The 15,353-nt window shown below is 38.6% G+C and overlaps 1 protein-coding gene across 3 annotated transcripts in view; it reads left to right on the top strand.

Annotated features, from left to right (window-relative positions):
* TOP2A (DNA topoisomerase II alpha) overlaps positions 1–15,353 on the top strand; it is a 29,372-nt gene that overhangs the window by 4,526 nt on the left and 9,493 nt on the right. For all 3 annotated transcript variants that reach the window (NM_001067.4, XM_005257632.2, XM_011525165.3), the window contains exons 6-27: positions 79–176; positions 400–612; positions 1,553–1,726; positions 1,916–2,017; positions 2,125–2,262; positions 4,741–4,879; positions 5,247–5,404; positions 5,697–5,822; positions 6,429–6,539; positions 6,682–6,787; positions 6,878–6,987; positions 8,488–8,580; positions 8,880–8,994; positions 9,098–9,219; positions 10,317–10,465; positions 12,290–12,521; positions 12,708–12,842; positions 12,962–13,162; positions 13,304–13,499; positions 14,240–14,331; positions 14,434–14,598; positions 14,730–14,813. In NM_001067.4, coding sequence (NP_001058.2) covers positions 79–176; positions 400–612; positions 1,553–1,726; positions 1,916–2,017; positions 2,125–2,262; positions 4,741–4,879; positions 5,247–5,404; positions 5,697–5,822; positions 6,429–6,539; positions 6,682–6,787; positions 6,878–6,987; positions 8,488–8,580; positions 8,880–8,994; positions 9,098–9,219; positions 10,317–10,465; positions 12,290–12,521; positions 12,708–12,842; positions 12,962–13,162; positions 13,304–13,499; positions 14,240–14,331; positions 14,434–14,598; positions 14,730–14,813 — 3,059 coding nt within the window. The remainder of the gene's footprint in view (positions 1–78; positions 177–399; positions 613–1,552; positions 1,727–1,915; positions 2,018–2,124; positions 2,263–4,740; positions 4,880–5,246; positions 5,405–5,696; positions 5,823–6,428; positions 6,540–6,681; positions 6,788–6,877; positions 6,988–8,487; positions 8,581–8,879; positions 8,995–9,097; positions 9,220–10,316; positions 10,466–12,289; positions 12,522–12,707; positions 12,843–12,961; positions 13,163–13,303; positions 13,500–14,239; positions 14,332–14,433; positions 14,599–14,729; positions 14,814–15,353) is intronic.

Below are 15,353 nucleotides of genomic sequence, written 5' to 3'. Positions count from 1 at the left end.
AGCTCTGCCAGTGATTAAGAAATAAAGCTGTCAATGAGATAGTAACAATAAAATAGTGTTTCATATTTATTTGCCCAGGTGGTCGAAATGGCTATGGAGCCAAATTGTGTAACATATTCAGTACCAAATTTACTGTGGAAACAGCCAGTAGAGAATACAAGAAAATGTTCAAACAGGCAAGTAAATAAGTGTCTTGTACCTTAATGATAAATGGTAGTAGTATAGCCATTTATAATGGCATTAATGATTGGTTTAATTTAACATAATTTATAAGCTATTGAAGTATGGAAAATTATAAGCATATATATTAGGTTATTAGGACTCATAAATTTATGTTATTTACTTCCAGTTTGTGAGATGACTTGAATTTTTCATGTTTCCTATTCTTTACTTCCATAGACATGGATGGATAATATGGGAAGAGCTGGTGAGATGGAACTCAAGCCCTTCAATGGAGAAGATTATACATGTATCACCTTTCAGCCTGATTTGTCTAAGTTTAAAATGCAAAGCCTGGACAAAGATATTGTTGCACTAATGGTCAGAAGAGCATATGATATTGCTGGATCCACCAAAGATGTCAAAGTCTTTCTTAATGGAAATAAACTGCCAGTGAGTATTTTCCTGGATGTTAAGGATAATAAGGGATTTTGTAATCATTGTCAAGTGCAAAATTGAATTTTTTCCCCTCCCATATGTTTTTGTTTGTTTGTTTGTTTGTTTGTTTGAGACAGAGTCTCACACTGTTGCCCGGGCTGGAGTGCAGTGGCACGATCTCGGCTCACCGCAACCTCCACCTCCCAGGTTCACGCAATTCTCCTGCCTCAGCCTCCCAAGTAGCTGGGATTACAGGTGCCTGCCACCACACCTGGCTAATTTTTTGTATTTTTAGTAGAGACAGGTTTCACTATGTTGGCCAGGCTGGTCTCGAACACCAGACCTCATGATCCACCCGTCTTGGCCTCCCAAAGTGCTGGGATTACAGGCATGAGCCACTGCACCTGGCCCAACCATATGTATTTTCTTACCACTTCTCACATATGTTCTTGAAAAGAGAATGGTATGCCACATTTTTTAATCAGCTCATTTTAAACTTACCGAAGGAATTTCTTTCTCAAAGAAACACCTAAAATAAATATTTCATGTCCTTTTTTTATTTTCCTTTTTCTTTCTTTTCTTGATAACCTCGCTGTGTCACCCAGGCTGGAGTACAGTGATGCAATCACGGCTCACTACAGCCTGGACCTCCCAGGCTCAAGCGATCATCCCACCTCAGCTTCTGGAGTAGCTGGAAATGCAGGCAGCACCACCATGCCCAGCTAATTTTTTTTTTTCTTTTTAATAGAGGTGGGGATCTCACTATGTTGCCCAGGGTGGTCTTGAACTCCTGGGCTCAAGTGATCCACCCACCTCGGCCTGTGTCCTTTAATGACCATTCCCTTATGCCTATCAGTGAACATCATTGCATTGGTTTTGGAAAGTCCTCATAGTCTATCATTGAACCTATTTTTTAATAACTTTCTTAATACTGTTACCTTTAATTCCTGTACAGGTAAAAGGATTTCGTAGTTATGTGGACATGTATTTGAAGGACAAGTTGGATGAAACTGGTAACTCCTTGAAAGTAATACATGAACAAGTAAACCACAGGTGGGAAGTGTGTTTAACTATGAGTGAAAAAGGCTTTCAGCAAATTAGCTTTGTCAACAGCATTGCTACATCCAAGGTAATTTTATTCTTAAATTATTAATCATGATTTATCTTTACATATATGTGTTCTTATTGTTTTTAATATATAAAGTGGACTTGAATATTGGGCTAGCTTAGTATAAAGGAGGTTAAATTAGTTTTTAATGTTTGATTATTATAATTTTGAGGATACTGAGTTTTACAGTTTGGTATTTTTCCTTATTAGGGTGGCAGACATGTTGATTATGTAGCTGATCAGATTGTGACTAAACTTGTTGATGTTGTGAAGAAGAAGAACAAGGGTGGTGTTGCAGTAAAAGCACATCAGGTATGTGCTTTTGGCAGTTTTCTTTTTCTAAAGTCAAGGAAGAAGAGAAAGGCTATAAATAAAGCATGAGTACATTTTTAGTGGCTTAATATCAACTTCTATTGCAGGTGAAAAATCACATGTGGATTTTTGTAAATGCCTTAATTGAAAACCCAACCTTTGACTCTCAGACAAAAGAAAACATGACTTTACAACCCAAGAGCTTTGGATCAACATGCCAATTGAGTGAAAAATTTATCAAAGCTGTGAGTACTTAGAGGAAAATAAAAATAGAAACACCTGACTTTATTTTCCATTGCACTTCTTAGCTCTGCAGAAACAATGATTCTTCTCATAGTGAGCTTCTCCAAGTCTTCCCAATCTGAAAAGGAAGTAAAAAAGGGCTTTACTTTAACTGATTTACCAAAGACTTAATGACCGTCTATATTTCAGTATTTCCCAATTACATTTTACCATTAAGCTTAGATCACTTTTGAATTAATCTAGCTGTTTAACAAACACCCTCACTTAAATGCCTAAGACTTGCTTTCAGTCAACACATCCAAAATTGAATTTGTTACCTCCATACTCACTGATTTGCCCATACAAGCAGCCCCCCACTCTCCAACAAAAAAACAACTTCCTATCTTAGTAAAAAGCCCCAACCAACCTCTAGGTTGTATAAACAAGAAAGCTGGGAGCCTTCCTTTATTTCCCCTCCTCTCTAATCCGGTCAATAAGAATCATCTCTTGGATGCTGCAGTAGCTTCTCACCATTATCTCTTTTTTGGTTTACTACAATAGGTTCTTAACCTTCATACTGGTTAAGTCCTTTCCTTGGAATGCTTTTGAGTGACTTTTGTGTTAAAACACCCATTTTTATCTTCACTCTCATTTGAAATCTTTCAATGACTTCCACTCAGGGAAAGTCCAAATTCCATAATTTGGCCAACAAGAAAGATCTGCTGTAATCTAATTACACCTACTTCTCCAACTCATCTCAGTGCCAGTTTTTCGTATATTGTCCTGTTGCTTTTAAATTACTGAAAAGCACAGTGCTCTTCCCCTCCTCAGAGTTTATTCACATGCTAATCCCTCTGCATGAAATACATCCTTTTCACCTGGCTACTTTAGGTCTTGTCCTTTCCTCAGGAAAGCCTTTACTTTCTACCCTTCCCCCCACCTAAGTTGGTTCCAATATAATATTGAACATACCTTATTAGCAAACTTTTTGCTTATCCATAACACTTATAACACTGTAACTTATTTTATTTCTGTCTTTTTTTTTAGGCAGAGTCTCGCTCTGTCGCCCAGGCTGGAATGCAGTGGCACGATCTCGGCTCACTGCAACCTCCGCCTCCTAGGTTTCAGTGATTCTCTTGCCTCAGCCTCCCGAGTAGCTGAGATTACAGGCATGCATCACCATGCCTGGCTAATTTTTTTGTTGTTGTATTTTCAGTAGAGACAGGGTTTCACCATGTTGGTCAGGCTGGTCTCAAACTCCTGACCTCAAATGATCCACCCATCTCGGCCTTCCAAAGTGTTGGGATTACAGCCATGAGCCACTGTGCCCAGTCTTTTTTTTTTTTTTTTTTGAGACAGAGTCTTGCTGTGTTGCCCAGGCTACAGTGCAGTGACGTAATCCTGGCTCATTGCAATCTCTGCCTCCCAGGTTCAAGCGATTCTCCTTGCCTCCTGAGTAGCTGGGATTCTCCAGCCTCCTGAGTAGCGGGGATTACAGACATGCACCATCACATCCAGCTAATTTTTGTATTTTTAATAGAGATGGGGTTTTACCATGTTGGCCAGGCTGGTCTTGAACTCCTGGCCTCACTTGATCCACCATCCTCGGCCTCCTAAAGTGCTGTGATTACAGGCGTAAGCCACTGCACCCAGCTATGTCTGTCTTCTATGTTGTGTCTTAAACTTGATGAGGACAAGTGTCTCAATTTGTTTTATTTGTGTCTAATTTTATTTATTTATTTTTAATTTTTTTTTTTGGAGACAGCTTCTCACTGTTTCCCAGGCTGGAGTGCCGTGGCTTGATCTCAGTTCACTGCAACCCGCGCCTCCCAGGTTAAAGCAATTCTCCTGCCTCAGCCTCCCAAGCAGCTAGGATTACAGCCATTTCACCACCACCATGCCTGGCTACCCTTTTTTTTTTTTTTTTTTTTTTTTTTGAGACGGAGTTTCACTTTTGTCACCCAGGCTGGAGTGCAATGGTGCGATCTTGGCTCGCTGCAACCTCTACCTCCTGGGTTCAAGCGATTCTCCTGCCTCAGCCTCCCGAGTAGCTGGAATTACAGGTGCCCACCACCACGCCAGCTAATTTTTGTATTTTTAGTAGAGCCGGGGTTTCGCCATGTTGGCCAGGCCGGTCTCAAACTCCTGACCTCAGGTGTTCTGCCCACCTTGGCCTCCTAAAGTGCTGGGATTATAGGCGTGAGCCACCGTGCCTGGTCTAATTTGTTTTAACCACTATATCTCCAACAAGTAGCTCAGTGCTAGCACAATATAATTATATAGTAAATATTTATTGAACGAATGAACCAAAAGGAGCAGCTCCCTCAGTGGTGATAACCTGACATGGGAAGATGTGCCACCCTCTATCCAGAAATTATTGTTCTACATCTTTTTAATTTTTGAATCATTTTTATTTGTATTAAGGCTCATTTGTATTCTAGATTTCTGATAGATCCCTTCTTCCCTAATATGATCCCTAATATGAATCTTCTCGTTTTCAGGCCATTGGCTGTGGTATTGTAGAAAGCATACTAAACTGGGTGAAGTTTAAGGCCCAAGTCCAGTTAAACAAGAAGTGTTCAGCTGTAAAACATAATAGAATCAAGGGAATTCCCAAACTCGATGATGCCAATGATGCAGGTATATATTTAATAATGTTTCCAAACTTTTAAGTCTTATAGTTGTTATTTTATTCATTAATGGCATACCACGGATATTTATTTTTCCCTTGACAGAATAACTATATTCAACAGAATAACTTGTTAAAAATCGGCCCGTTTCCTATTATGGAAGATTTAGGTCATTTCCATGTTATAAATAATATTGAGGTGATTATTTTGGAGTATAAAACAAGAATGTTTATATTATGATCTATTACCTAACAAATAATTTTGCTCATTATATAGTAAATTGTGTTTTATCACAAGGCTATAAACAGCATGTTCAAGTTAGTATATTTGAGGTTGAACTAAATGTGCTAATATTAATATGTATATTTTTATTTTAGGGGGCCGAAACTCCACTGAGTGTACGCTTATCCTGACTGAGGGAGATTCAGCCAAAACTTTGGCTGTTTCAGGCCTTGGTGTGGTTGGGAGAGACAAATATGGGGTTTTCCCTCTTAGAGGAAAAATACTCAATGTTCGAGAAGCTTCTCATAAGCAGGTAGAATATAAGACGATCTTCAGAATCTAAATCTAATTTATAATACAAGACTTTATGCTTATATTTAATTCCCTCATTAGGCATTTTAAAATATATTTTAGACAATTTGTGCTTATTTTGAGAAATTAGGTACATTGTAGCCTATTTTAACAGACCTTTCTGATGTAGTAAATTATAAGCTAATAGCTCAAAATACTGGAGCTCAAGAAAATCCAAGCAACATATACTGTTAAATTTCTTTGTTCTTTTCAAATTTATAAACGATGCTTTTTTTGGTATATGTCCATTTCAGATCATGGAAAATGCTGAGATTAACAATATCATCAAGATTGTGGGTCTTCAGTACAAGAAAAACTATGAAGATGAAGATTCATTGAAGACGCTTCGTTATGGGAAGATAATGATTATGACAGATCAGGTCAGATTTGTTATTAAATTTTTAGATTGTTCAACTAAATTAAGCATGTCTTAATTTAATTTCATTGTTTTTTGCCATGAAAATAAATTAGTTAAATAGGAGCTTTATTCATCATCTCTAATCAACATCTAATCAGATATGCTTATATCATATGTATGTTGCAAATACAGGTTAAGTGAGTCTGGATTTGAACAGACCTTTTTTGATTCCCATAGAAAATTTGACAAATTGCCAGTAGGTCAGTCATAATATTTTTTTATTTCTAAACAATTCTTTGTTTGTTTGAGATGGAGTTTCGCCCTTGTCGCCCAGGCTGGAGTGCAATGGTGCAATCTTGGCTCACTGCAACCTCCGCCTCATGGGTTCAAGCGATTCTCCTGCCTCAGCCTCCCGAGTAGCTGGGATTGCAGGCGGATGCCACCACACCCAACTAATTTTTGTATTTTTAGTGGAGACAGGGTTTCACCATGTTGGCCAGGCTGGTCTCGAACGCCTGACCTCAGGCGATCCGCCTGCCTCGGCCTCCCAAAGTTCTGGGATTACAGATGTTAGCTACCACGCCCAGCCTAACAGTTCTTTTGAACTTTGGCTTTCAAATCTTTCTAGGACCAAGATGGTTCCCACATCAAAGGCTTGCTGATTAATTTTATCCATCACAACTGGCCCTCTCTTCTGCGACATCGTTTTCTGGAGGAATTTATCACTCCCATTGTAAAGGTACGCTAATTTCTAAGTACCATCATGGATATTTTAAGACCCTACTCCTCAAACCTGGATATACATATAAGCCCCGTCACATGTAGTGGTATACAGGGGACCCCACAGTGTACAAAGCCACAGTCATTGTTTTTTATCACAGGTATCTAAAAACAAGCAAGAAATGGCATTTTACAGCCTTCCTGAATTTGAAGAGTGGAAGAGTTCTACTCCAAATCATAAAAAATGGAAAGTCAAATATTACAAAGGTTTGTAATGAAACCCATATAGAACTTCTCATTTTATTATACACCCTGTACAAGACTATATGAAGGAACTTGGTATTTTTGGTTTTATAGGTTTGGGCACCAGCACATCAAAGGAAGCTAAAGAATACTTTGCAGATATGAAAAGACATCGTATCCAGTTCAAATATTCTGGTCCTGAAGATGATGCTGCTATCAGCCTGGTAGGTTTGAGTTGTATTTTATATACATTCTAATTTTAGAAATCACTACTTTAGCCAGTTGAAACATTTACATTTTTGTATAAGACTCCGTATCAAAAAAAAAAGAATGTTTTATAGAATAGAATGTTTCCAGTAAGCATATCCCAGAGAAGGAATCAGATATTTTAGAAAATTTTGATTTTTGGCTGGGCTTGGTGGCTCATGCCTATAATTCTAGGACTTTGGGAGGCCAAGGCAGGTGGATCACCTGAGATCAAGAGTTGGAGACCAACCTGTCCAACATGGTGAAACCCCCTCTCTACTAAAAATACGAAAATTGGCCGAGCGTAGTGGCTCACGCCTGTAATCCCAGCACTTTGGGAGGCAGAGGCGAGCAGATCACAAGGTCAGGAGATCAAGACCATCCTGGCTAACAAGGTGAAACCCCATCTCTGCTAAAAATACAAAAAATTAGCCGGCCGTGGTGGCACGCAGCTATAGTCCCAGCTACTTGGGAAGCTGAGGCAGGAGAATCGCTTGAACCCGAGAGGCAGAGGTTGCAGTGAGCCGAGATCAGGCCACTGCTCTCCAGCCTGGGCAACAGAGTGAGACTCCATCTCAAAAAAAAAGGAAAAAGGCCAGGCGTGGTGGCTCACGCCTGTAATGCCAGTACTTTGGAAGGCTAAGTCGGGCAGATCACAACGTCATGAGATGGAGACCATCCTGGCTAACACGGTGAAACCCCGTCTCTACTAAAAATAAAAAAAAATAAAAAATAAAAAATTAGCCGGGCTTGGTGACACGCGCCTGTAATCCCAGCTACTCCGGAGGCTGAGGCAGGAGAATGGCGTGAACCCAGGAGGCGGAGCTTGCAGTGAGCTGAGATGGTGCCACTGCACTCCAGCCTGGGCGACAGAGCGAGACTCTGTCTCAAAAAAAAAAAAAAACAAAAAAGGTCGGGCGCAGTGGCTCACACCAGTAATCATAGCACTTTGGGAGGCCGAGGCGGGTGGATCACCTGAGCTCGGGAGTTCAAGACCAGCCTGACCAACATGGTGAAACCCCATCTCTACTAAAAATACAAAATATTAGCTGGGTGTGGTGGCACGTGCCTGTAATCCCAGCTACACGGGAGGCTGAGGCAGGAGAATCACTTGAACTTGGGAAGTGGAGGTTGTGGGAGCCGAAATCGTGCCATCACATTCCACAAGAGTGAAACTCCATTTCAAAAAAAAAAAAATACAAAAATTAGCTGGGCGTGGTGGCGGGCGCCTTTAATCCCAGGGGCTCAGGAGGCTGAGGCAGGAGAATCGCTTGAACCTAGGACGCAGAGGTTGCAGTGAGCCAAGATGACACCATTGCACTCCAGGCTGGGCAAGAGAACAGTAACTCCCGTCTCAAAAAAAAAAAAAAAGGAAAACAGTATTTTTGTTTTTCTGTTGTTCGTTCTTTGTAGAAGGATATTTTGGAACCTATTAGCCTATTAGTACCAGTGACATCTTTTCATCCTTTAATTTATAGGCCTTTAGCAAAAAACAGATAGATGATCGAAAGGAATGGTTAACTAATTTCATGGAGGATAGAAGACAACGAAAGTTACTTGGGCTTCCTGAGGTAAAAGTTTTAAATATATGCCACAAAATGGATTGTTAGACTGACCTTTTGGTATTGATACTATAGCAAATTAAACTTACTGAATAGTTATTTTAGTAAAAAATTTGATATGATAGAGTTGTGCAGCAGTTAAATTTGCTTTATCTTTAAAACATATAAAATATTTCTGTATTATTCAATATTTTTTAAAGACTTAAGAATTACAGAAATAATTCTTAGTTCTGAAAGGTTTCTGTTTGATTTTTGTGTTGAGCATTGTTTAGACCGGTAGACTCATGTAATACTATTTGGTCCTTCAGGATTACTTGTATGGACAAACTACCACATATCTGACATATAATGACTTCATCAACAAGGAACTTATCTTGTTCTCAAATTCTGATAACGAGAGATCTATCCCTTCTATGGTGGATGGTGAGTTCCAATTTGTTAGTCTGTTTTCATTGTAAGATGGAAATCAAATTCCAAAATTGGTTAAATTGAGGATACTTACGTTTGCTCTTATTTCATTTTAAAGGTTTGAAACCAGGTCAGAGAAAGGTTTTGTTTACTTGCTTCAAACGGAATGACAAGCGAGAAGTAAAGGTTGCCCAATTAGCTGGATCAGTGGCTGAAATGTCTTCTTATCATCATGGTGAGGTAAACACACAATCCATGTTTCCAGAAAGCATTATATCAGAAATCCCTGCAGAGTCATTCTCAAAACAGATTTGGTGAAAGTATAAGCTCATATATTCATAGTAAAGAACAAGTTGGTAAAACCTGTGAAAGAATAAAACTGCTTGCCCTTTGATTTCTGAAAGTAATATTCCTGCAGGGATATTCATAAGTCTGCAAAGGTCTACATTAAAAAATGCTTAGTATGTTTATTATAACTTTGTGATGTCAAAATTTAGACCTCCACTGATTTGAAAATTGTTATAATAAATTGTGACACATGTATGCATGGAATCAGTGCTGTAACTTCAGTAAAACTGTGTGCACTGACACTGAGGAATATCCAGGGTCTATTCTCAGGTGAGGAAAAAAAGAGACAGAACAATAACTAAAAATGTCTACAAGGATATGTTCCAAATTGTTCACTTTAGTTACCCCTGAGAACTGGAAAGGGCAACTTTCACTTTTTATATGTGTCTGAATTGTTTGACTTTACACCAATGTTTTGTGATTACTTTTTGCATTAATTATGTAAAACAGTTTTAAAGAACTAGATTGCCTACAGGTTTCTAGAATTTTAAATATAATGGTTGTCTTGTTGCTTTCAATCAAAATATAGTAGGGATACAATAAATTTTCACCCAACGAACATTTGTTGAATGCCTACCATGTACCAGGTATACAAAAATAAATAAAAATATGTTCCTTATCCCCAAGATATAATAACAATTTAGCCAGAGGGCCAATACACACACAGCTATAGAATAAAGTGATACATGCTAGAATAGAAATGAACACAGCATTGTAACACAAAGGAGGAAATATTTCATTTTGCTGAGGATAAGGAGAAGAACTATGCCTTCAAAGTTGAGTGGGATTTAATAGAAATTGTTGGACGGCAGCCCTAAACTTGGAGCCAGAAGTTGTAGGTTCAAGTACTATTTCTGCCATCTATTAATCTGAGGAAAGTCACTAAACAACTAGACCTCACAAAATGTTACAGGATTATAGTGAGGTTAAGTCATAATGTATTTGTATTAGTAAAAGCCTCAGCTTAATGAATCTTTTTTTCCCCACAGATGTCACTAATGATGACCATTATCAATTTGGCTCAGAATTTTGTGGGTAGCAATAATCTAAACCTCTTGCAGCCCATTGGTCAGTTTGGTACCAGGCTACATGGTGGCAAGGATTCTGCTAGTCCACGATACATCTTTACAATGCTCAGGTAGGTATGCTTTCACTTTCTAGTGACTTGCCATTTCCAGTTTTGAAACAATGTGAGATTTAGTTCACCAAAAATACAAAAACTCAGTTAATCAGAAGATACTGGCATCTAGTGGCAGAGGCCAGGGGTGAGGCTTATACAGGAAAGCCCCCCCATAACAATTATCCAGTGCAACATGTCAATTATGCTAAGGTTGAGAAATCCTGATGTAGAGCTTGGGACTGAGTAAAGGAGACTTTGATTCTTCCTAAATATCACAATTGAAATTTTACTCCTTTACAAGCCTATGGAAAGTATATTATGAATGGTCAATTTTCAGCTGTCATCCCAGTCACCCTTTCAGTGGCATTCAAACAGTTACTAATTGCTCCATCCTTCTTGAAACTCTTTATTTGGCCTCTATGACTGTAGACTCTTCTGGTTCTCTTCTACCTTATTAGCTTTCTCTGCTGGGTCCTTCTCACCTTCCCAACCTCTAAATACTGGCCCATTCCAGGGCTCCTTCATCAGATCTCTTTCCAATGCCTACACTCAATTCCCAAATGATCTCCCATTCATCCGTTCTATACCTTTAAATCTCCAGTCTTGGTCTCTCCCCTGAACTCCCAACTTTTATGTCTGACTGCCCTCTTAACATTTCCCACTTGGATATCTAGTTAAGTATCTCAAACATAAGTCTAAAACCAAATCCTTAGTTTTCCTGTCTCAGTAAATGGAATGCCATGCCATCCTTCTAATTGCTCAGGCTAAAAACCTTGTCACCCTTGACTCCTTTGCTTGATACTTAACATCCAGTTCCTCAGCCAATCCTATAGGATCTGCATTGGAAAAATACTAAGCCACCCCCATCTCATCTAAACTATTGTAACATATCATCTTTTCTTAAAGCAGCCAATTATTTTTTAAAAAATAAGTCACTCTGATTCAGAACCTTCAACTGCTCAGAGTAAAATCTAAAGACCTATTTTAGCTAACCAGACATTATGTGATCCGTGTCCCCACCTTCCATGTCTTTTGATTCCTTCTCATACCATCTCCTCTCCAGCCACACTGTCCTTGGCCTATACTCAAATATACCGAGCACATTTCCTCTTCAGGGCCTTTTACTTACTGGTTCCTTTGCCTGCAACACTCTTTCTCTAGATATCCACATGGTTCAGTCCCTCAGTTTGTTTTTTGTTGTTTTTTTTTCTTTTGAGATGGAGTTTTGCTCTTTTTGCCCAGGCTGGAGTGCAGTGGCGCAATTTCGGCTCATTGCAACCTCTGCCTCCTGGGTTCAAGTGATTCTCCTGCCTCAGCCTCCCGTGTTGCTGGGATTACAGGTACACGCCACCATGCTCAGCTAATTTTATATTTTTAGTAGAGATGAGGTTTCACCATGTTGGCCAGGTTGGTCTTGAACTCCTGACCTCAGGTGATCTGCCTCCCTCAGCCTCCCAAAGTGCTGGGATTACAGGCGCGAGTTACTGCACCTGGCGCCCTCAGTGTCTTTTCTCTGCTCAAATGTTTTCCTATCAGAAACGGCTTAACTTTCCTTAGCACCTCTTCAGTCACTTTCCCACTTTTTCTTCTCTTGTTTATCCCACCACCTAACAAAATATGTGTTAATTGCAAACTTCTACTGGACTGTGAGCTCCTTGAGGATTGAGACTTTATGTCCATGTGCGTGACACATAGCAAGTGCTCAATAAATATTGTTAAATGTATATTAGTCAGCAAGTAAAACCAAGATAATTTTCATGTATAATACATGTCCTTTCCATAAAAGTTAAGTGTGAAATTCAGTATTTTTGTAAAATAACATTCTTTGTTTCTTTTCTTTAGCTCTTTGGCTCGATTGTTATTTCCACCAAAAGATGATCACACGTTGAAGTTTTTATATGATGACAACCAGCGTGTTGAGCCTGAATGGTACATTCCTATTATTCCCATGGTGCTGATAAATGGTGCTGAAGGAATCGGTACTGGGTGGTCCTGCAAAATCCCCAACTTTGATGTGCGTGAAATTGTAAATAACATCAGGCGTTTGATGGATGGAGAAGAACCTTTGCCAATGGTAAGTATTCTGTGTGTGTTAAGAGCCTTAACTTTTCCTTGGGTTTCAGTTGAATAGATTGTATGATTAAAGATGATGCAAACATAAAATTTAATTTCATACTTTAGATTTATTGTTAAACGCTGTTGTGATTTCCGTCTAGTATCACATTTAGAAAACATACTGTTTTTTTAAATGCCAATTTAGCTTCCAAGTTACAAGAACTTCAAGGGTACTATTGAAGAACTGGCTCCAAATCAATATGTGATTAGTGGTGAAGTAGCTATTCTTAATTCTACAACCATTGAAATCTCAGAGCTTCCCGTCAGAACATGGACCCAGGTAAATAATTATGGATTTCTTTTTTAGGTTTGTGATCAAAAGAAATACCTTTTGTACTATTGCTGTTGACTATTCAGAAGCCTATATTTTAGAAACTTCAGGATTATTTCTTTCTTTAGACATACAAAGAACAAGTTCTAGAACCCATGTTGAATGGCACCGAGAAGACACCTCCTCTCATAACAGACTATAGGGAATACCATACAGATACCACTGTGAAATTTGTTGTGAAGATGACTGAAGAAAAACTGGCAGAGGCAGAGAGAGTTGGACTACACAAAGTCTTCAAACTCCAAACTAGTCTCACATGCAACTCTATGGTATGTATTTGTTTTGTGAGATGTACACGTTTCAATTTATATTAAAGATTAATATCAATTTTAAAAGTATATCTTAGTCTACCTTTATAAAGTTTAGCCAATTTGTCTATTCTTGGCTCTAATCTTGTTTTCCTTTTTCAGGTGCTTTTTGACCACGTAGGCTGTTTAAAGAAATATGACACGGTGTTGGATATTCTAAGAGACTTTTTTGAACTCAGACTTAAATATTATGGATTAAGAAAAGAATGGCTCCTAGGAATGCTTGGTGCTGAATCTGCTAAACTGAATAATCAGGCTCGCTTTATCTTAGAGAAAATAGATGGCAAAATAATCATTGGTATGTTTTGGGAATAATAACTGCTTACTAAAACTCTAGTTACGCCAAACTTTCTTTAAACATTTTTGGTGAGAGTAATGGTGGAGAAAGAGGCAAAATCCATTTAATTCACCTGGTCACTTATACACGCATTTCTTTAAAATATCTGATTAGGTATTTATAGTTTGAAAGAGATGATGTTTCCTTGACTGAGCATCTTGAGAAATCAAGATTTAGTTGACAATTAGACATGAGGAGAATAGAGAGCTAGAAGACCTTGCATAAACTGATTGACCAAGAGAATAGATACACTAATCATGTCTACAGGAACAGAAAATAAAAGAGACAGAGAAGAGATAATAAATCTGATGGTAAAAAAAAAAAAAGGCAGGAAGATTACGAATGGCTTCTACTCTCTGGGTGTGGTGGCGCATGCCTGTAATCTCAGCACTTGAGCTGGGGAGGTCAAGGCTGCAGTGAGCCTAGGTAGTGCCACTGCACTCCAGCCTGGACACAAGAGTGAGAGAGACCCTGTCTCCAAAAAAAAATGATTTGATCATATATGATTTGACTGCCCCCTTGTGGTAATTTACATTTGTCAATGGTTTAGGGAGACTTGCCTGTATACCGGGATATACAAATTTATGCAAGCACGAAGACAGTTTAATTTCCAGTTTTAAACTTTTGACTTGTGTAAAACCTTATCCCCTTCCTAAAATATTACTCAAAATCATTATCTCTGTTTACTTTTTTAAAAATAGAAAATAAGCCTAAGAAAGAATTAATTAAAGTTCTGATTCAGAGGGGATATGATTCGGATCCTGTGAAGGCCTGGAAAGAAGCCCAGCAAAAGGTAATCTTGGGTGGCACTTTTCTATATTGTTAAAGACTATGTATTGTACAATGTTTATGTTTCACATTTTCTAATAAAGCTAGATTTTAATTAATCCTTTAGGTTCCAGATGAAGAAGAAAATGAAGAGAGTGACAACGAAAAGGAAACTGAAAAGAGTGACTCCGTAACAGATTCTGGACCAACCTTCAACTATCTTCTTGATATGCCCCTTTGGTATTTAACCAAGGAAAAGAAAGATGAACTCTGCAGGCTAAGAAATGAAAAAGTGAGTTGATAGTAGGATGGTACATGCTGCTTAGTTTTGTTCTATTCTAATGGTAAAAGTAAAATTGTGTGTTGCATGAAAATGCTGCTTGTATACATATATTAACTCAATTTTGTAATTATCTTATGAAGGAACAAGAGCTGGACACATTAAAAAGAAAGAGTCCATCAGATTTGTGGAAAGAAGACTTGGCTACATTTATTGAAGAATTGGAGGTATGTAGTTTATAATGCCCATGTTAGAATTTTTATTAATGAAATAATATATTCCAGCAGTATACCTTTGTCAAGATAGTTCACAATTGGCAATAAAAAGAAAATAAGAGGCATAAGGATAAATTCCAAATAGCGTATAAAAGAACAGATTATTGGCCAGGTGCAGTGGCTCACGCTGGTAATCCCAGCATTTTGGAAGGCTGAGTTGGGTGGATCACTTGAGGTCAGGGGTTCAAGACCAGCCTGGCCAACATGGTAAAACCCCATTTCTACTAAAAACACAAAAATTAGCCAGGCATGATGGTGCATACCAGTTACTCAGGAGGCTGAGGCAGGAGAATTGCTTGAACCGAGAGGCAGAGGTTGCAGTGAACCGAGATCACACCACTGCACTCCAGCCTAGGCAACACAGCAAGACTCCGTCTCAAAAAAAAAAAAAAAAAAAAAGGGACAGATTATTAAATACTACTTAGAATACAAGGCCGGGTGCGGTGGCTCACACCTACAATCCCAGCACTTTGGGAGGCCGAAGCAGGCAGA

Source organism: Homo sapiens, chromosome 17 (assembly GCF_000001405.40).
Source record: "Homo sapiens chromosome 17, GRCh38.p14 Primary Assembly".
In the NCBI taxonomy this organism is placed as follows: Eukaryota; Metazoa; Chordata; class Mammalia; order Primates; family Hominidae; genus Homo; species Homo sapiens.
Note: the sequence above shows the minus strand (reverse complement) of the source record. Positions and strands in the feature narration are given on the sequence as shown.